General features: G+C 41.1%; 2 pseudogenes across 3 annotated transcripts in view; one reads left to right on the top strand and one right to left on the bottom strand.

The window, feature by feature from the left end:
- Positions 1-22,223, top strand: part of SLC71A3P (solute carrier family 71 member 3, pseudogene) — a 70,693-nt pseudogene that overhangs the window by 45,370 nt on the left and 3,100 nt on the right. For 2 of the 3 annotated variants that reach the window (NR_172875.1, NR_172876.1), the window contains exons 3-4: positions 9,339-9,401; positions 18,554-18,681. The product of NR_172875.1 is annotated as a solute carrier family 71 member 3, pseudogene, transcript variant 2 (transcript). Of the gene's footprint in view, positions 1-9,338; positions 9,402-18,553; positions 18,682-22,014; positions 22,192-22,223 lie in introns of those variants that run through there. The other variant, NR_172874.1, reaches the window with a different exon arrangement.
- YRDCP2 (yrdC N(6)-threonylcarbamoyltransferase domain containing pseudogene 2) lies at positions 12,658-13,437 on the bottom strand (annotated as a pseudogene).

Here is a 22,223-nt window from a genome sequence, read left to right as displayed (position 1 = left end):
TTTTATTTTTAAGCTTGGCTTCCTTGGGTTCTCTGTCTCCATTATTTAGGGATCAGTCAGATTGGTAAGAGATTATAGTTAAACACCTCGAGCCAGTAAACTTTCAGCTCTCTGCTAATGGATCTGTATGTGAGCTGGAAGTGCATTCTTACTTCAGGCCATTTTCAATTCTTCCCTGGCTTTTGCTCTCTGCCAGATTCTCTTGAAATCTCTGTATGTGCAGCTTCTGATGGCCAAGGATGTATGAGTGGCTTGAGTGTGTTCCAGTCTCTTATATGTGTGTGTATCGTCTAGAGTCAACCAATTTGGGGAGAGCTTTTCAAGCTTCTTGTGGCTGTCTCACCTCCTACAACTACCTGTTACATCCCTGGCCTAATCCACCAGTCTGCCACTAGTCTTCCGTGTTTGCCCCGTTAACTTGACAACACTCCAAATCCAACGAGTCCTCTCAGGCAGCAGCATGCCCTGCTTAAACTAATACCCACAGAGCTGGCGTTGGGGGAAGGGCAGGAGTCTGGTAGCAGCTCAAAACTGAAAACCACCATTTCTGCCTGAAGTTCAGTAACTTAATAAATAAATGCTCCCAGTTTGTTTTATGCCTTTGGTTGAATTCCAGAGCACTGAAATAGGTTTATACAGCTGTACTGAAAGATAATTTGTTAATCTTTTTATACTGTCATGTCAAATGTGAGAAGTCTGACAATTTTTTTTTTCTTGTAGATACTGGGTTTATAATACTTTTTTTTTTTTTAAATAAATTCAAGGCCAGGCGTGGTGGCTCACGCCTGTAATCTCAGCACTTTGGGAGGCTGAGGTGGGCAGATCACGAGGTCAGGAGTTCGAGATTAGCCTGGCCAACATAGTGAATCCCTGTCTCTACTAAAGATATAAAAAGTAGCCAGGCATGGTGGCATGTGCCTGTAGTCCCAGCTACTTGGGAGGCTGAGAAAGGAGAATCGCTTGAACCCAGGAAGCAGTGATTGTGGTGAGCCGATATCATGCCATTGCACTCCAGCCTGGGCAGCAGAGTGAGACTCTGTCTCAAAAAAATTAAAGTTAAAATTAAAAAATAAATAAATGAAAGAAATTCAAATCAAACCATTAGAGGGTTCCTATAATATTTCTGAGTAATATAGTTAGAAAAACCAGTGGATTAGCTGATATCTCAATACTTTATGCACTTTTCAATTTCTGTATTTCCCTGATTGTCCTAAAAACCAGAAAATAGGAAAGCTGTTCTCCTACCCTCGCAATATAAAATTATAGGATTTTGAGCTGTGTTAGGAGTTTGATCTGAGGAAAATATGATTCTATAGAATGATATATTTTCCTAAAGTTTCCTCATGGCTAAAATAAAATAGGAACCAGATACCTTTTTGTGTAAGCTTTTAATGGAAGTATAATGTGTACAGAAAGATGTACAAATGATAAATACACAGCTTGATGAATTTTTGTACAGTAAGTACACTTATATATCCAGTACTATGCTACACTCCCAGAAACAATCCTAAGTAATTTCTGTCCTTGTCACATTTCTAATATGACAGTTTGGCCTTTGTGTTTGTGTGTTTAATATTATATAAGTGGAATCATACAATGTATACTCTTTGTTGTCTGGCTTTTTTGGCTTAGTACGTTTATGAGAGTAATCCATGTTGTATGTAGCAACATTTCATTGTTGTATAGTGTATTCTTACATAACCACATATGATTTTCTGTTATCTTGGGCAGGAAAGGATTAATTCAGCAGGCCCAAGTTGCTCAAGTCTTTCATGTTCCCAAGAGGACCATTTTCTGTGACTGTTCCTTGACAGGCCAGAATTGAGCTCTTGGAATATTTTGCGTTTTGTGTGATTGAATCTTTGAACTTGACTGTTCCAGTTTGTGCAAACAGCATTATTTATGGTGAACACCTTTCCTTCTCGTGAACTAGAGAGCTTTGGTAGCTGGTCATTCATTGTGTGCCTTGAAGATCACCCACCAAGAAAAACCCTGGACTCCTAGGCTTTTGTGAGCTTCCATAGCCGACAACACTTCACATAATGTTGTTATAGTTTCTCTTTTTCTTTTCTTTTCCTCCGAGACAGAGCCTGGCTCTGTTGCCCAGGCTGGAGTGTAGTTGCGCTATCTCGGCTCACAGCAGCTCCGCCTCCTGGGTTCAAGTGATTCTCCTGCCTCAGCCTCCCGAGTCCCGGCTAGTTTTTGTATTTTTAGTAGAGATGGGGTTTCGCCATGTTGGCCAGACTGGTCTCAAACTCCTGGCCTCAAGTGATTCACCCGCTTCGGACTCCCAAAGTGCTTGAGCCACTGTGCCTGGCCATTGTTACAGTTTATTGCTGGAGGGATTAAATGCTTTATGTGTGACTCCACTGGGAGAGGACTCTTAGAAGCATGCACCTGGCTTCCTCCAGACTTTGCCTGATGTCCCTTTTGCCTTTGCTGATTTTGCTTTGTGTCCTTTTGCTGTAATAAACTGTAAGTATAACAGTTTCAGAGTCCTGGAATCCTCTTAGCAAATTGCTGAACTTAGAGATGGTCCTGGAGTCTATTGACACAAATCCATTCTGGTGTTGGACATTTGGGTTTCCGGTTTTTGCCTATTACAAATATTGCTGTTGTAATATTTCTTGTATATATCTTTTGGTGAACATGTATACGTGTTTCTTGGAGTATATATCTGGGAGTAAAATTGCATGGTTGTGTTCAGCATCACTATGTAGTGCTAAAAGTTTTCCAGAGTGGGTGAACAATTTACTCTTCAGCCAGGCAGACTCCATGTCTTCACCAGCAATTTGAATTCTGGTAGGTACATTATGGTCTTAATTTGCATATTCCTAACGACCAATGAAGTTAACCCCCTTTACGTATAACATATATTTATTGGCCGTGTGAATATCTTTTTGTTAAGTGTCAGTTCATGTGTTTCATCAGTTTTTAAAAAATTGGGTTGTGTCCCTTTTTCTTATTTGTAGGAGTTCTTTATATATTCTAGGTACAATTTTTTTCATGTGTACGTTCGTCTCTATACGCACACATATACTTATTATTGATATCTTTTCCTTATTCTTGGATTGTCTTTCTTCCTTTTTTTTTTTTTTTTTCGAGATGGAGTCTTGCTCTTGTTGCCTAGGCTGGAGTGTGCAGTGGTGCGATATCGGTTCACTGCAACCTCTGCCTCCCGGGTTCAAGCAGTTCCCCTGCCTCAGCCTCCCAAGTAGTTTGGAATACAGGCGCGTGCCACCAAGCCTGGCTAATTTTTGTATTTTTAGTAGAGATGGGGTTTCACCATGTTGGGCAGGCTGATCTTGAACTCCTGACCTCAAGTGATCTGCCTGCCTTGACTTCCCAAAGTGCTGGGATTACAGATGTGAGCCAGAATGCCCAGCCTGGGATTGCCTTTCTGTTCTCTCTCTCTCTTTTTTTTTTTTTTTCAGGGTAGGTAAAGTATTTTTATTATAAATTTCAGGATCTAAAAAATGATTTATTACATTTGCTAAGATTAAGGTGACCTTTTTAAACCAAGCCACGTGTGCCCTGCATAGTGACGTCGTGACCCTCGGGCATGGAAAAAGACACAGGTCTACCCAGATAACCCGGATAACCTTCTGAGGTCTCTTCAGCCCTTTTCGCTAGTGGTCACCCACCACTATGGTTACTTGCCAGCAACATCTCTATCGCTGGATGGTCCCTGTGTATAACCCTGGTCTAGTATATTTTTTCCAATATGTGACCTCAGTCTTACTACTGACTAGTTCTGTGGGTCTCTTGCTAGGTGGTAAGGATTTTTATACTTGGGCTTATAGAGCCAGTTAGATCATAACTCTTATGAAATATAGAGTGTCCTAAATATCACTGAAATAAAAAGTAGGAAAAAGAAGCTTGAATTTTAAGACTGAGGCTGCTCTGAAGATTCTAGTTTGGCTTTCAGAGTTCAAGAATGGCAGCATCTTCACCTGAATTCTTCAATGCCAGGGCCTTTCTGTTCTCTTAATGCCTTTGGATGACACTAATTTTAATTGAATTTAAGTTTTTATGTAGTTGAATTTATTTTTGCTTATGGTTAGTGTTTTTAAAAAATCCTGTTTAAGACAACTTTTTCTACCACAAACCTTAATTGGTTTATTGTTCTCATGTAGTCCTATCATCCAAAAAGATCACTGTGTTTGGTAGGGGGTCAGTATTCACTTTGGTTGCAGAAGAATATATAGTTGAACCAGCATCATTTATTGAAAAAATTCTTCTTTCCCCACTGTACTGTGTCACTTTTGTCATAAATGAGACAACCGTCCATATATGGGTTTGTTTCTAAATTTTTTAGTATTCTGTTGAGCTATATTTCCTTGTGCCAACACCATCCTGTGTTAACTTCTATAGTAATATGTTTTTTTTGGCCGGGGGGGGAGCAATGGAGTCTCACTCTATCACCCAGGCTGGAGTGCAGTGGTGCGATCTCGGCTCACTGCAACCTCTGCCTTCTGGGTTCAAGTGATTCTCCTGCTTTAGCCTCCTGAGTAGCTGGAATAACAGGCATGCACCACCATGCCTGGCTAATTTTTGTATTTTTAGTAGATACTGGGTTTCACCATGTTGGCCAGGCTGGTCTCGAACTCCTGACCTCAGGTTATCTGCCTGCCTCAGTTTCCCAAAGTGCTGGGATTGCAGGTGTGAGCCACTGTGCCCAGCCATAATATCTTGTATAAATTCCTTAGTGTGGTTCATTTTCCTCAAGATTGCCTTGGTCTAAGCCTTTTTTATGTCTGTATATATATATTTTATAATCAGCTCTTCAATACCCACAAAATAATCTGCTAAGAATTTTGATTATGATTGCATTGACTATAGATTGATTGTGGAAGAATGGACATATTGTTTTCTGCTTTTTTTTTTTTTTTTTTTTTATTCTTTGATTGAGAGTCTCACTCTGTTGCCCAGGCTGGGGTGCAGTGGCTAGATCTCAGCTCACTGCAACCTCTGCCTCCTGGGTTCAAGTGATTCTCCTGCCCCGACCTCCTGAGTAGCTGGGACTACAGGCGTGTGCCACCACAACTGGCTTTTTTTTTTTTTTTTTAAATAATAAATACGGGGTTTCAGCGAGGCTGGTCTTGAACTCCTGGTCTCAAGTGAGTATGTTGTGGAGAAATACTTTGAGACTATCCAGATATCTTGTTCCTTTTCTGTTGTCCTACTAATTTTAGCATCCATAAATGCTTGTCTGCAACAGTTTTTACTGTGGTATTTGTCTAATGACATCTGTTTCCCTATTTTGTTCAAGATCAACCTCGGCGAAACCCCATCTCTACTAAATTAACCAGGCATGGTGACTCACTCCTGTAATCCCAGCTACTCGGGAGGCTGAGGCAGGAGAATCGCTTGAACCCGGGAGGTGGAGGTTGTGGTGAGCCGAGATCGTGCCACTGCACCTGAGCCTGGTGACAGAGTGAGACTTTGAATCAAACAACAACAAAAAGACAGTATGTCTGTTCTTTCCCAATTATTCTGTGGTCAATGCAATCATAATCAAAATTCTTCGCAAGTTATTTTGTGGCTATTGAAGAGCTGATTATAAAATATATGGAGACATAAAAAAGGCTTAGACTAAGGCAATCTTGAGGAAAATGAGCCACACTACAGAATTGGTCATGGATGAAATCATGGGGCGTTGAAGCTGTCTTCTTGAGTTGAGTCAGTTCTTGAGTTGGGGCCACAAGATCAGATGAGCCAGTTTATCGATCTGGGTGGTGCCAGCTGATCCATTACGTGCAGGGTCTGCAAAATATCTCAAGCAGTGATATTAGGAGCAGTTTGGGGAGGGTCAGAATCCTGTAGCCTCTAGCTACCTGATTCGTAAACCATAATTTCTAATCTTGTGGCTAATGTTGGTCCTACAAAGGCAGTCTAGTCTCCAGGCAAGAAGGAGGTCTGCTTTGGGAAAGGGCTATTACTGTCTTTGTTTTAAAAAACTATAAACTAAGTTTCTCCCAAAGTTCATGCTATGCCCAGGAATGAGCAAGGACAGCTTGGAGGTTAGAAGTAAGATGGAGTCGGTTAAGTTAGATCTTTCACTGTCTCAGTCATAATTTTGCAAAGGCTGTTTCAAGTTTACAGTCAGGCTGTAGCCAGTTTTCCACCTGTAGTCTAGATACCTGTGGTTACTAGAGTGTAGTTCTTCAGCCCAGGTGGAAAGCCTTATTCCCTAAAATTTAATGCAGGGACTGGTTATAGGCACTCTTGCTCTGTGAAAGTGTGGATATTCTAGAGTACTGAAGTACTCTATAGGATTATGTGGTCATAGGACTTTGTGCACTTTTGGCAGCCATAAGAGATCTGGGGCACCGTCCTTTTTGAATCTCATTCCATTCAATCCTGCAAGTATCCCACTTAGAAGTCCCACAGTTTTCAGAGAACTATGCTTGTGATTGTTATCCTGGTGCCATATCTGTAGGTCAGCAGCTTTGAGAGGAAGACACCAGGGAGCTTACTTTGTGACCTTTTAGTACCCTTTCATTTATGGCTATTTTTTCCTACTCCTCTGATTTGGGAGGTTTCTTTCTGGGTTCTGGAAAATGAACTTCTTCAAGGTCTTCTATTTCACCTTCAAGTGCTACTTTTCTTCAGCTCTTTTTTTGTTGTCAGTCTTTTCTCATCTGTTCTGTATCATCCAGAAGCGCCTTATGATTCTTGGCTTTCTAGGAATGCTGTAAATTTAATTTCATGTTTTTTCTGTTATATCTGTGCAAGTGGAGAAACACAGCTCTGTGTATGTTTATTACATGTAGATATTTCTAAGCTTTGTTGTACTGGAAGACAGTTCATTTCTTAAAACTTTATAGTTACTGTTTTAAAAGTGATAAGCAAGTGTCATTTTTTTTCTTGTAAAATGTTTCCTATTTTTTTCAGGAAAACGCCATTTTATTTTATGTTTACTGTAGTCCTTCTCAAGAATACTTAAAGGGGATATTTTCCTTGAGTTATTTTTATTTATTTATTTACATAGATAGATAGATACAAGGTCTTGCTCTGTTGCCCAGGCTAGAGTGCAGTGGTGCAATCATAGCTCACTGTAGACTTGATCTTCCGGGCTCAAGGCAATCTTCCCACTTCAGCTTCCTCAGTAGCTAGGATTACAGGTGTATGCCACTGTGCCTGGCTAAGCTTGAGTTTTTTTTCATATAGAGATGTTAAAAATGAAAGCTTTGATCTTCTCTGAGATATTTAATACACCTTTTATTATTAGGTTTACTTTATTCTGATAACATTTGTTGCCTTTTGTAGCTAAATTATTTACAGACTTTATTTTGGTTTTTAAACTTTATCATAAGCCTGAGTAGAATATATCTGTTTTATTTACAACTGCTTTATTTTATGAAGGTTAGCCTTTTAAAATTATTACTGACTTGTTTTACTTTTTTCTTTAGTAAGATTTCACTGTTTCCTTTTTTGGGGGAGGGTGGGTAGAAAACAGTAGAAAAGTTTTTAAAAGCATGGATTGAACATTTTTAGAGGAATTGCCTGCATGGTAGCTTGATTGCTCAGAAATGGGCCCATGTGGTCAGAAATTACATGAGATCTATTTAGTGTGCAACTCATTAAGTATGTATTTTGTCATTCATCCATAGATACGGTTTTGCCAAATTAAAATGATGATCTCTTATTCCTAAACTGCATCACCTGTACAAAGGGAATGCAGGTTTGCATCATTTTCCATGTAGAATTCTAGCAGTGGTCTGAGGTCGAGAGGGTGAGGTTTGAGGTGGGGGCAGGGAAGGATCAGCACTGCTGCTCCTTTGACAGCATGAGAGAACCCTGGAGGTGTTGGTGCAGTGTTGACCAGCACTCACTCCACCCTGTATTTCCCACTGAAAGAAACTAAGAGGAAGCCTGTCGGGAAAGGGAGTCAGAGGAATGTCCATAGTCTCTTATCTCTGATCTGATAGAGTATAGAAGGGAGAATGTGGGACTGAGAGACAATGGGTTAATAATGGACATGATCAGGCCGGGAGCGGTGGCTCACGCCTGTAATCCCAACACTTTGGGAGGCCAAGGTGGATGGATCACAAGGTCAGGAGTTCAAGACCAGCCTGGCCAATATGGTGAAACTCCACCTCTACCAAAAATACAAAAATTAGCTGGGCGTGGTGGCAGGTTCCTGTAGTCCCAGCTACTCGGGAGGATGAGGCAGGAGAATCGCTTGAACCTGAGAGGCGGGGGTTGCAGTGAGCTGAGATTGCACCACTGCACTCCAGCCTGGGCGACAGAGTGAGACTCCATCTCCAAAAGAAAAAAAAAGTTGACATGATCCGATAAGCATTTTTTAAAAATACGTTTTTGTTTTGCATTTTACCATGTTTTTGTGATGCATGTGACAAATCAAGTTATTCAACAGTTCTAGTCTTTATATTCTTTAAAGAAAATTTCTGTATCTCTGTGACTTACATTTATTATTTTTGGAAGATTTTTTCTTATAACTTTGGTATTTCACTTGAAATATTTGGTGTCCTTCATTTGCTTTTCTTTTTCTTCAGTACAGGCAAGTAGAGTTCAAATGTCAGTAGCTGAGATGACAAACTTTTTCTAAACCTTAAAAATAATGTTGTTAGAGGAAAGGTTGGAAATAATTTGTGAGTAGATTTTAATTTCCGTTTTTTAAAGACTTAATTTTTTAAAGAGTCATTTAAGGTTCACAGCAAAATTGAGAGGAAGGTACAGAGATTTCCCCTGTATCCCTTCCCCTACATATGCATACCCCCCCCCTTTTTATTTTTTTACTATGGACATTCCTTTCTAAAGGGGTACATTTGTTTTATTTGATGAACTTACATTGACATACTGTTATCACCCAAATTCTGTAGTTTAGGTTTCACTCTTGGTATTCTATATGCTGAGTTTTGATAAATATATAATGCATGTATCCACCATCATAGTATCATACAAAGCATTTTCATTGCCCTAAAAATCCCCTGTGCTCTGCCTATTCATCCCTCCCTCCTTCACAGTCCCTGGCCACCACTGATCTTTTTATCGTTTCCATAGTTTTACCTTTTCCAGAATGTCATATACTTGGAATTATACAATACAATATGTAGCCTTTTCAGATTGGTTTGTTTCACTTAACTATGTGCATTTGAGGTTCCTCCATGTTTTTTAGTGGCTTGGTAGCTCATTTCTTTTTAGTGATAGTCTGGATGTACCACAGTTTGTTTATTTTTATTTTTTTTTAATTGATATTTTATAATGTTTCATTGCAGGGCTCATTTATGTAGCATGCCATTAAGAGAGGCAGAAAATTTTTCCTTTAACTGAAATTTGAATTTGTCTTGATGTTTGTTTGCTTTTTGTAGGTTCTACATGAAACATTTTCTCAACACACATTCCTCATGAATGGTCTCATTCAAGGTGTAAAGGTAAGAAAAAATTTTTATGTGGTTTGTAATGAACCAAAGTCAGGAATCCTTGGTAGTTTAACTCTGGAAGTTTTAGTGGGACTTTGGGAAACAAATACTATTTGTTCTGGAGACTGAAATCTAAATTTTTAGCTGGGTTATTAAAAGTCACTTTAAAATACTACACAAATACATAAGGCATAGAATGGTTTACTGGCAAATAGCAGTGTGAATACTCTATAGGCCTAACTTCATTTTTATTATTGTGTACACAAAAGGGCTTAATTATTATGTAACTTTTAACTTCTCTGCCTATCAACAGAATAAAGTGGGCAATTGCTACCATCTTCTTTTTAGGTGTACTAAAAAGAAGTATATCTGAGGAAGAAGGAAGCCAAGCTGGTAACACTGGCCATGGCTTTGTAATAACTCAGCCACTTGATTTAATTAGTCTTAATTCATTATGTCGATTTTAATATGATATATATAAAAACGGCTTTAAACCGTTTTCCTGTTTGCACCGAGAATACTCACCAGCGGTGCTGCATTTACTCCAAGATAACTTTGCCACAAAACATGTTGCTTTTATTATTATTTTTGCATTGCTTTAGTATATAGACTTTGGAAACAAAAGACATCATTCTATTGATAGCATTCTTTTTCCTCATTCTTTATTTATTTATTTATTTTTTTTGAGATGGAGTCTCGCTCTGTCACCAGGCTGGAGTGCAGTGTGGTGAGATCTCGGCTCACTGCAGCATCCGCCTCCTGGGTTCAAGCAATTCTCCTGCCTCAGCCTCCCCAGTAGCTGGGACTACAGGCATGCACCACCACGCCCAACTGATTTTTGTATTTTTAGTAGAGACAGGATTTCACCATGTTGGTCAGGATGGTCTCGATCTCTTGACCTCGTGATCTGCCTGCCTTGGCCTCCCAAAGTGCTGGGATTACAGGCGTGAACCACCGCGCCTGACTGTTCCTCATTCTTTTAAATAATTTTTTTTTTTTTGAGATGGAGTCTCACTCTGTTGCCCAGGCTGGAGTGCAGTGGTGCGATCTCAGCCTACTGCAACCTCCATCTCCCGGGTTCGAGCGATTCTCCTGCCTTAGTTTTCTGAGTAGCTGGGATTTCAGGTGCCCACCACTACGCTCAGCTCATTTTTGTAATTTTAGTAGAGATGGGGTTTCACCATGTTGGCCAGGCTGGTCTCGAACTGCTGACCTCAAGTGATCTGCCCGCCTTGGCCTCCCACAGTCTTGCAATCACAGGCATGAGCCACTGCGCCTGGCCTGTATTCTGTTTTTAGTAGTGGTGTTTCCAGTTACAAACTATAGTAACACTCTATCACTGAAAATGTCAAATCCTAGAAAACGCAGCACTTCTACCTGTGATGTTAACATTGTTCTCGAACAGTTACCGGCTGAAGATTCATTTGATGAATCCAGTTTTTTGAAATAGACAATTCTGATGATTCAGGTGATTCTGATGTTAGTTCTGTTTAGAAATAACTCCAAGAACACTTTTTATATTTTATTTTCACATTGAAAAATCAATCATATTTGCTTCAGCCTCAAAGAGTGTGTGTATGTAAAATCATATGAATGCTGGCAGTGAGCTGCACTTGTTTTCTCTAAATAGGAAAAGAGTTAAATAGGGGTTTAAAGTATAATAGTATTTTTTAGTCTCTTATAGTAAAGCATATGAGTATAGGGTCTAATTTGTGCTTTCCAGTTTAGATAATGTCAATCTATGCATAATTATACATTGTACTGAACAACATACTTAAAATTATTCCCAAGGCTGCATGCGGTGGCTCACGCCTGTAATCCCAGCACTTTGGGAGGCCAAGGCAGGCGGATCACGAGATCAGGAGATCGAGACCATCCTGGCTTAACATGGTGAAACCCCATCTCTACCAAAAATACAAAAAATTAGCTGGGCGTGGTGGCAGTCCCCTGTAGTCCCAGCTACTGGGGAGGCTGAGGAAAGAGAATCACTTGAACCTGGGAGATGGAGGTTGCAGTGAGCTGAGATTGCGCCACTGCACTCCAGCCTGGGCGACGGAGCGAGACTCCGTCTCAAAAAAAAAAAAAAAAATTATGCCCTAGTAATGTGCTGAATTTAGCCATTGTAATTCGTTATTTTCATAGCTCTTAAAAAACATTCATATAATAAATAATGTTAAATATTAATAAATCATATTTATTATTTGCCTGTTTTCAAAAATAATTTGAGGATATTTATATGTAAAACGGCATTTTATTTATTTTTTATCATTTGGGTACTTTTTTTTTTATAGCTGTATGTCTTTTTACTAAAGCCGAGTTCAAATGCCCAACAGTAATTATGTTGAACACTTAGTACACATAAATAGACCAAAGGCTACTGAGAACACTGGACTTAGATAAAAGTGTTATAGGTATAACTACAACTTAATTTATGAATAAATAAGAAAAAAGTCCCTGGCTGAAAAGGATAGTGGAGATTTATTTCTCAATATTCTTTAATTTGGACCACCCCCACCAACTGAGCCGACGTCCCAGCGTTAGATCAAAATGACTGCTCTCCCCACCAGCAATTACAGTATTTGATACCACTAGCTCCACTGGTTCAGAGGAGAGAGTGTTTGGCCCGTGGCTCTACCTGGTTCCAGCTTCAGGAGGCCAACCCATGCCTTTGGTCACCTGAGACTTTTTAAACAGCGTTGGCACTTGTAGCTGGTCTGAACCATTTTGAATGCTACCACCCAGCAGAGAGGAGGCTCTCATTAGATTCTACATCTGCTATTTAAATTACTTTTCAATTAAAAAAATAAACTTATTAGAATAATGCCACCTAGGAATGTTGTTAATCTCTCCGTTCAGCTTTTGGCTGATATATGAGACTACAAATATTAAATATAGCCTTTCCCACAGGTGCAGCTTCTGGGGATTGGTCTACAGTGTTCAGAAAGACACATTGCATTAAAAAAAAGTCAGGCTAGGTCAGACGCAGTGGCTCATGCCTGTAATCCCAGCACTTTGGGAGGCCGAGGTGGGCTGATCACCTGAGGTTGGGAGTTTGAGACCAGCCTGACCAACATGGAGAAACCCTGTCTCTACTAAAAATGCAAAATTAGCCGGTTGTGGTGGTGCATGCCTGTAACCCCAGCTACTTGGGAGGCTGAGGCAGGAGAATTGCTTGAACCTGGGAGACGGAGGTTGCAGTGAGCCGAGATCGTGCCATTGCACTCCAGCCTGGGCAACAAGAACGAAACTCTGTCTCAGAAAAAAGAAAAAAAGTCAGACTACTGCAGGAGCTCCAGTGGCTTCTGCAAATGAGGGCTTGGCAATTATCAGTGGACGGACACAGAGTGTCCAGCACCAGGCCATGGGCCTTCCTGCTTCCTGAGTTTCACAAGTAGGATGCACATGAGGGGTGCAACCCATACCTCTGTTGAAGAAAGGCTGTAGTACTTTCCAGGACACAGCCTGGACGAATGATGCCAAACTTTCTATGCACAGATAAGTCAACCACAGTTGAGCCAAGGTAACACTCAGGGATCTGGCTATCCCTAGCTTGTCCCCCATCAATGACCAAGGACAACTGAGGCCAGAGGTCTTATAACTCCATGGCATTCAGAGAACTGTCCTGGGAGCTGAGGTTGGCACTAGTGAGAGCAAGAGGATGCTCATACATCTTGGCCAAGTCTTGCATAAAGGCATAATCAGGAATCCGGATACCTTGTAAGAGGAGTAAAGGGGTTTAGGTCGTTGTTGAGCTCCTCTGAACGTTCCATCACCAGGGACACTCGTCCTGGCACTAGGTCTTTGAGGAGCTCCTGGGGTACTACTCTCATACAGCCAGTAACTTGGCCTTCCTGCAGCCCTTGAGACGGTACACAATGCGCAGGGCCACTGAGCAGCTTGCCGGGCAGGCCAGGCCATGTGGCATATTGGTGGGATGGCTACCATGGTGCTGGTGTGCAGCTCAGCCATGGCTGAACACTCTGGGCTTGCCCCCTCGCTCTGTCCCACACTGGCAGCCACTGTGGCCCTCGGATCCCCCTGGACTGACTACAGATAACAAATACAGCCTTTCCCACAGGTGCAGCTTCTGGGGCTTGGTCTACAGTGTTCAGAAGGACACATTGCGTAAAAAAAAAGTCAGGGTAGGTCGGGCACGGTGGCTCATGCCTGTAATCCCAGCACTTTGGGAGGCCGAGGTGGGCGGATCACCTGAGGTTGGGAGTTTGAGACCAGCCTGACCAACATCGAGAAACCCTGTCTTTACTAAAAATGCAAAATTAGCTGGGTGTGCCAGAGACATCCTCCCATTTGGGTACTTTTTATTATTTAACAAACACTGGATACATAAACAAGTGAAACACAACCTGGACATGATTTACAGACTTTCTGTTTCCAGTTAAAACAGAGAACTATGACTAAAGTATTAGTAGCATACAGAGTTTATGCATAAGTACATCTCTAAATAAAATTCCCAATTTGCCACTCTTTAGTTTGGAATAATCCTCACAAAACCATTAGAATCCTAAAGTAAAAATACATTTATTACTTACATCAGAAACAACGAATTCAGAATGGAAAGTAGTTAAAAATCTGAAATGTTTTTTCTCATAAACTTGGAAAGAAACAATGAATTCAAAATGGAAAGTAGTTAAAAATCTGAAATGTTTTTTCTCATAAACTTGGAAAGAACTACCTTCTACTTCCATAAATACATTATGCTTTATAACAATGTATTGTGTTGCCACATACAACAGACCTTTATGAACTGCTAATACAACTTTTCAGTCTCACTCTGAACAATTCTAGATTGTTGAGAAACCTTTTGTTGCTGTTGTTGAAGTATATTCTACAAATATAAAAGAAAAAATTGTGAAATAACAATTAGGGTAAAATTTTAAATTTGGCAAAAAATATTCTACATTAAACTTAAATAGTTTTAAAATCAATACTTTAAAAATTTTGTTTTTAACAACTATTATGACCAAATTTAGGTAATTTGTGTTTACCACTAATGTGCAACAATATAATCCTACCAGTGGCTGAATAGGAAATTTTAGCAATATTCAAGACTTGTCTTTTTTTTTTTTTTGAGACGGAGTCCCACCCTGTCGCCTAGGCTGGGGTGCAGTGGTGCGATCTCGGCTTGCTGCAACTCCCCGCTGTCCGGGTTCAAGTGATTCTCCTGCCTCAGACTCCCAAGTAGCTGAGATTACAGGCACACACCACCACACCTGGCTAATTTTTGTATTTTTAGTAGAGACGGGGTTTCACCATGTTGGCCAGGCTGGTCTCAAACTCTTGACCTCGTGATCCTCCCACCTCGGCCTCCCAAAGTGCTGGGATTACAGGCGTGAGCCACTGTGTCTGGCAAAGACCTGTCTTATTTCTTGGTGGTTTCAGTATCCACACAGATTATCCTTCCAATAATAGTGGTCTTTCAGTTCCTTGATCTATTTCACTCCACCCTGTTAGCCATTCACTTACAATAACTCTAACCATTACACAGTATTAATAATGGCAAACTTTCTAAGGGATAGGTACTCATTATTCCCTTTCATAGGTAAGTAAATTGAGAGAGAAAGATAATTTGCCCATTGTTTCACAGCTGCAATTGCTCAAACCAGAATTTTATCCCAAAAAGTATTGCTTCCAGCATCCAAACTCTAACCATTATACATATTGTTTCTCTATATATCCTAGTATTCAACCACTACCTCCTTACCATTCTAGCTTACTCTATTTTTTACTACAGCTCAGTATATCAGCACTGAAAACCCATCCTACCTGCCTTTCACTGTCACCCCTACCCCTGTATCCTCACTTGCATCTTTCTTGGCTTAAATTCTGTGGTCAATCATTATAATTACTGCTTTGCATATAAAGCATGCCCTCTTTTTACTCTGTCACACTTGGTTGGCTAAACCCCAACGCTTGAAAATTTAATTCTCCAGCTACTCTGTCTGTAGGCAATACCTTTTCCACCATCTAATGACCTTAACTGTGTCACTAAATAAATAGAAGCAATGCAAAGAGAAATTTCAGTCTCCCATCACCACATCTACTATCCACCTACATGTATCTGTTCTCATATACTCTACTTCCTCTCCTGTTTCTAAGGATGAACTGTCCTTGTTCCTTGCTAAAGCCAGCTTCTTCACATATCTCATCCATTCTCAAGAATTCAGCAGTTATGCCTTTTTTCCCCAGTATTTTAAACTTTCCCTCTAAATTATTCCTACCAGCATACAAGCATTCTAGTTCTCCAATCTAAAAACAAAACCTCTTTTCCTTTTCTCCTCAGGCTACTACCCCATTTCTTTCTTTGCCATGCTATCTTACATTCATTACAAGTAGACTTCCACACTCACTTTTCCACCAGAATTATTCCGAACCTTTTTCCTTCTTTTTTTTTTTTTTTTTTTTTTTTTTTTTTTTTTTTTTTTGAGATGGAGTTTTGCTCTTGTTGCCCAGGCTGGAGTGCAATGGCACGATCTCAGCTCACTGCAACCTCCGCCTCCTGGGTTCAAGCGATTCTCCTGCCTTAGCCTCCCGAGTAGCTGGGATTAGAGGTGCGCACCACCATGCCCGGCTAATTTTGTATTTTTAGTAGAGACGGGGTTTCACCATGGCCAGGCTGGTCTTGAACTCCTGACCTCAGGTGATCCGCCCGCCTCAACCTCCCAGCGTGCTGGGATTACAGGCGTGAGCCACCATGCCTGGCCCCTTTTTCATTCTTAAAAGGCTTTCTTTACTTGCTTTCTTCACTTGACCTAGCATAGTTTTCTTTCTACCTGTTAGGCCACTCATTCTCAGTCTTCTTATACTCTTAATTCATCTCTAGATGACTTATAATACCTAATACTGTGTAAATAGTTGTTAAACTGTATTTTTTAATTTGTATTTTTTATTGTTGTGTTCTTATTTTTAATTGTTTTCTTCCAAATATTTTTCATCCATGATGGATGAATCTACAGATACGGAGCCTCCATATACAGAGGGTTGGCTGTGTAGAGATTTAAACTAGTTGCATGGACAATGGGCAAATGATCCAAACTAGATCAGTGATATTTCTCCAGAGGAATTTTCTGCTAGAGGTATTGCGATTTTCTCAGTCTACTGGGGTTACTTAACTTGTAGTAAGCCTACGATTGCAAAAACTGTCCTGCTTACTACATTGAGACACCTTACTAAGAATTGGTGAGAGAACCCAGATGACACTATATGAACAAGTCCTTCCCTGTGTCCATCTAGCTATGCCTGAAGCTAAACTTACCCACAGCTTCTTTTATATAAAGTATTAATAATAATCATTCTTTTGTACGAGGAAGCTCTCTTCTTTCATTTGCCTATTAAACTTTCCCCTCCTTCACCCACCCATGTGTGCCCATGTCCTTAATCTTCTTGGTGCAAGATGATGAACTGCAGGTATTTCCCCAGACAATGAAGCTGCTTCACTTTGAGTCCCTCCTCTTATCAGTTTACCTATGTCTGCTGTCCTGGGTTAATCAGTTGGTGGCTGATAGGGGATTGGAATCTGTTCCTTTTTCTTTCCAATTATGTGAACTTGGAGACTTCTGTAAGTTGATTTTCTCTGAAAAGTTCTATTCAATTCACCAAACGTATTTGAAAACCAGTGTTTACCAGGCCCTGTGATAGGCACCACGGGTACAGAGATAAGAAGAAATGTCATCCTTCTGACCTTATTCTCAATTTCGAATCCAGCAGAGAAGGTAGACAAATAACAAGTGATTTAATGGAGTGCTGAAATTATAATAGAAGAGCTAAGAGACTAGATAGAGGAGGAGGTGCTTCTCTCCCAGGGTTGGGAAGAATCACTAGCAGTTTCCAGGCTCCAAGTGTGGGATGGATGTGCGTGCAAAGGCCTGTTGGCACGCAGGAACATTGTATGTCCAGAAAACTGGAAGTATCGCATGCAGCCACAGCAGAGGATGTGTGTCAGGAGCCGGGTTTTGGAGTGTCCTATTTATGTGATGTGCTGAGGAATTTTTAAGATGTATCATGAAAATTCAGATACACAAAAGAATAGTGTGATGAATACCTGTGTACTCATCACCTATTTCATTATTCATCAGCATTTTTCTACTCTTGTCCATCCCTGCTCTCCCCACCCTGCTGCTTATCTGTAGCATTGAAATGAAGGTGGCCAGCCAACAGAGTGACTGGCAAATAGTGGGCAAGCAGTGAATGTGAGTTCCTTGACTTCCTTTGCTTCTGTGTGGTGTTATCTATGTCAGATTCTCTTCCCCTTAGTTTCAACTGTAGTTGTTGTTCAGGTTGGATTATCTCCTTCTTCCTAAACTCATCAGGCAGAACTTTACTTTGACAAAGTTGACAAAGAATCTAGTTTTCTTTTGATCATTAAGCATATGTACACTCCTCTTCTTTATCCCTGTGAGGCCCTGGGGATAGTATATGGTGTACATTCATTTGGGTGTCATTGTACCAGTTAATGCAGTTTTGTGCAGAATTGATATGCCATATATATTTATTAAAGTGATTCAAATTTCTAGCTTCTTCCCGTATGCTTGGTGTGTGTTCGTCTTAAGGGTCAAATGTGGGTATATATATATCATGTCATCGCTCTTTTCTAATTTCTTCTGGAAAACAAGCTTTTTTACTTCTTCCTTCCCTTTCTGATAGAACATTTACATTTTTGGTTATAATTTTATTTTAGATTTTATTTTAATTAGACAACAGTTTTGCTCTTGTTGCCCAGCCTAGAGTACAAAGGCGTGATCTTGGTTCACTGCAGCCTCTGCCTCTCGGGTTCAAGTGATTCTCCTGCCTCAGCCACCTGAGTAGCTGGGATTACAGGCGTCTGCCGCCACGCCCGGCTAATTTTTTGTAATTTTGTATTTTTAGTAGAGACGAGGTTTCACCATGTTGGCCAGACTGGTCTTGAACTCCTGACCTCAAGTGATCCACCCACCTTGGCCTTCCAAAGTGCTGGGATTACAGGCATGAGCCACCACGCCAGGCCTAATTTTATTTTTTTAGTTGTAGTTTGTATTTAATGTTTCAAAGTATTATTCTGTTTTGGGGGCAGTACAATGAATTAGAGCTAATGCATTTAGAAAATATGAATTACAGGTAATTGAGGGATCAGATTATAAAACTAACCTTTGCTTTGGTTTCTTCTCCAGGGCCTGCTCTCTTTTTTGAGTGCCCCACTCATTGGTGCCCTGTCTGATGTGTGGGGGAGGAAGCCCTTTCTCCTCGGCACTGTATTCTTTACCTGCTTCCCAATCCCACTGATGAGGATCAGCCCATGGTGAGTGACTTGGCCCTTCACCTCCTGACTGCTTGTTTTGAGTCACATGTAAATTATATTTGCAGAGCACTTCTTAACTATTACAAAGCAGTTGTGCTTGTGTTTTCATTTGATCTCTCTGGTAATACTGAAAACCAGTTTGGACAGTTGTCATTATATCCATTTTATAAATGGGGTAGTGAAGACATTCTAGAATTAAGTCTGAGATAAGTTACTTAGGTGAAGAAATTTTATTTTTTCACATTGCTAGAAGAAACATGCTAGATACTAGAAACATGCTAGAAGAAAACTTGGATGAAATAATCTTTAACCTGGTATAGGGAGAGGCTTTCTAATTCTAAATCCAGAGCCAGTAAAGGATTAATAAATAATGTCTACAAATACCAAAAAACGTTTGCATGGACAAAGTGTACCGTAACATCAAAAGACAAATGACTACAAAAAATCTTTATCAACATGTAAATCACCATACTTCACTGATAAAGGGTTAATCCTGAGGCCGGGCATGGTGGCTCACGCCTGTAATCCCAGCACTTTGGGAGGCTGAGGAGGGCGGATCACCTGAGGTCAGGAATTTGAGACTTGCCTGACAAACATGGTGAAACCCTATCTTTACAAAAAATACGAAAATCAGCCAGGCGTGATGGTCCACATCTGTAATCCCAGCTACTCGGGAGTCCGAGGCAGGAGAATTGCTTGAACCAGGGAGGCGGAGGTTGCAGTGAGCTCAGGTCGTGCCATTGCACTCCAGCCTGGGCAACAAGAGTGAAACTCCGTCTCCAAAAAAAAAGAAAAAAAAAGGGGTTAATCCTTACTTTGTAAATGTTTTAAAAATTGAGGGGAAAAGATTAGAAATCCTATAGAAAAGTGGGCAAAAGTCATGCACAGACTCTTTACCAAAAGATGTATAAACATATGAAAAGATGTTCGTTCAACTTCACTCATGGTAAGAGAAACGTAAATTACAACTACACTGAGATACCATTTCTCACCCATCAGATTGTCAAAAACTTAAAAGCTTAACCGTACTCTCTACGGATAAGACTGTGGAGAAACAGGCATTTTCATACATTGTTGGTGGGAATGCAAAATGTTTTAAGTCCTATAGAGGGAAGTTGGCAGTATTTAATTAAATTATATATACACATACCTGTTGACACAGCAAGCAAGCGCAGGGATAAATAAGAATTTATCCCTTAAGAGTCACCTCCAGGCCGCATGCAGTGGCCCACGTCTGTAATCCTAGCACTTTGGCAGGCCCAGATGGGCGGATTGCCTGAGCTCAGGAGTTCGAGACCAGCTTGGGCAACATAGTGAAACCCTGTCTCAACTAAAATACAAAAAATGAGCCAGGTGTGGTGGCAGTTGCCTGTATTCCCAGCTACTCAGGAGGCTGAGGTATGAGAATTGCTTGAACCTGGGAGGCAGAGGTTGCAGTGAGCTGAGATCATGTCACTACATTCCAGCCTGGGCAACAAAGGGAAACTGGGCCGGGAGCTGTGGCTCATGCCTGTAATCCCAGCACTTTGGGAGGCCAACACGAGGTCGGCAGTTCAAGACCAGCCTGACCAACATGGAGAAACCCCATCTCTACTAAAAATACAAAATTAGCCAGGCGTGGTGTCGCATGCCTGTAATCCCAGCTACTCGGGATGCTGAGGTCCTGAACCCAGGAGGCGGAGGCTGCGGTGAGCCGAGATCATGCCATTGCACTCCAGCCTGGGCAACAACAGCGAAACTCCATCTCAAGAAGGAAAAAAAAGAGTCACCTCCAGTGATACGAATTACAGGTGCACATGATTACTTGTCAGCGTTATTTATAGTTGCAAAATATTGGAAGTTGCTTGGACATTCAAGCATAGGAAATGGATTGAATAACACATGATGGAGTCAAATATAACCGTGAAAAGAATGAAGAAGGCTGGTCGCGGTGGCTCACACCTGTAATCCCAGCACTTTGGGAGGCCAAGACGGCGGATCACAAGGTCAGGAGATCGAGACCATCCTGGCTAACACGGTGAAACTCTGTCACTACTAAAAATACAAAAATTAGCCAGACGTAGTGGCACATGCCTGTAATCCCAGCTACTCAGGAGGCTGAGGCAGGAGAATTGCTTGACCCCAGGAGGCGGAGGTTGCAGTGAGCTGAGATCACACCACTGCACTACAGCCTGGGTAACAGAGAGAGTGTTTGTTTCAAAAAAAAAAAAAAAAAAAAAAAAAAAAAAAAAAAAAACAAATGTTTTAGAAGATAATTTTAAGATATGTAAATAACCTTTTTTTTTTTTTTTGACAGGGTAGGGTCTTGCTCTGTTACCAAGGCTGGAGAGCAGTGGAACAATCATGGCTCACTGCAGCCTCTACCTCCCGGGCTGTAGCCATTTTCCCACCTCAGCCTCCCAAGTAGCTAGGACTATAGTCATAGTCTGGCTGGAGTGCAATGGCGCAATCTCAGCTCACTGCAACCTCCGCCTCCTGGGTTCAAGCGATTCTCCTGCCTCAGTCTCCCGATTAGCTGGGATTACAGGCTTGCACCACCACACCCAGCTAATATTGTATTTTTAGTAGGGACGGTTTCTCCATGTTGGTCAGGCTGGTCTCGAACTCCCGACCTCAAGTGATCCACCCACCTCGGCCTCCCAAAGTGCTGGGATTACAGGCGTGAGCCACCGTGCCAGGCCCATGTTAGTTTTTAATATTTTTTAATATGAGTGTGCATATAGTTGTTAGTATGTTATTTTATTATCTCTTAAATGACTACGGGATCTGTGGTTATATCTCCTCTTTCATTGCTGGCATCATTTTTTTGTTTTTTTGTTTTTTTTTTTTTTGAGACGGAGTCTCGCTCTGTTGCCCAGGCTGGAGTGCAGTGGCGCGATCTCTGCTCACTGCAAGCTCAGCGTCCTGGGTTCATACCATTCTCTGGCCTCAGCCTCCCGAGTAGCTGGGACTATAGGAGCCCACTACCACGTCCGGCTAATTTTTTTTGTATTTCTAGTAGAAACGGGGTTTCACCATGTCAGCCAGGATGGTTTCGATCTCCTGACCTCGTGATCCACCCGCCTCGGCCTCCCAAAATGCTGGGATTACAGGCGTGAGCCACCGCACATTGCTGGCGTTCTTAACTTGAATCTACTCTATTATTTTAGCATCAGAAGATTATGAATTTTACTGATTGTATTAAAAAACAATTTTAAGCCAGATGCGGTAGCTCAAGCCTGTAATCCCAGCACTCTGGGAGGCCAAAGCAGGTGGATCCCTTGAGGTCAGAAGTTTGAGACCAGCCTGGCCAACATGGTGAAACCTCATCTCTTCTAAAAATCCAAAAATTAGCCGGGTGTGGTGGCGTGCACCTGTAGTCCCAGCTACCTGTGGCAGGAGAATGGCTTGAACCCAGGAAGCGGAGGTTGCAGTGAGCCAAGATCACACCATTGCACTCCAGCCTAGGCATGGTGAGACTCCATCTCAAAAAAAAAAAAAAATTAAATTGTATTGATTTTCTCTTTTCAATTTTATTGATTTCATCTTTTACCTATTATTTC

The sequence above is a fragment of the Homo sapiens genome, chromosome 9, assembly GCF_000001405.40.
Source record: "Homo sapiens chromosome 9, GRCh38.p14 Primary Assembly".
Classification (NCBI taxonomy): Eukaryota; Metazoa; Chordata; class Mammalia; order Primates; family Hominidae; genus Homo; species Homo sapiens.
The sequence above is the reverse complement of the archived record's forward strand: the minus strand, read 5'-3'. Positions and strand labels throughout refer to the sequence as shown.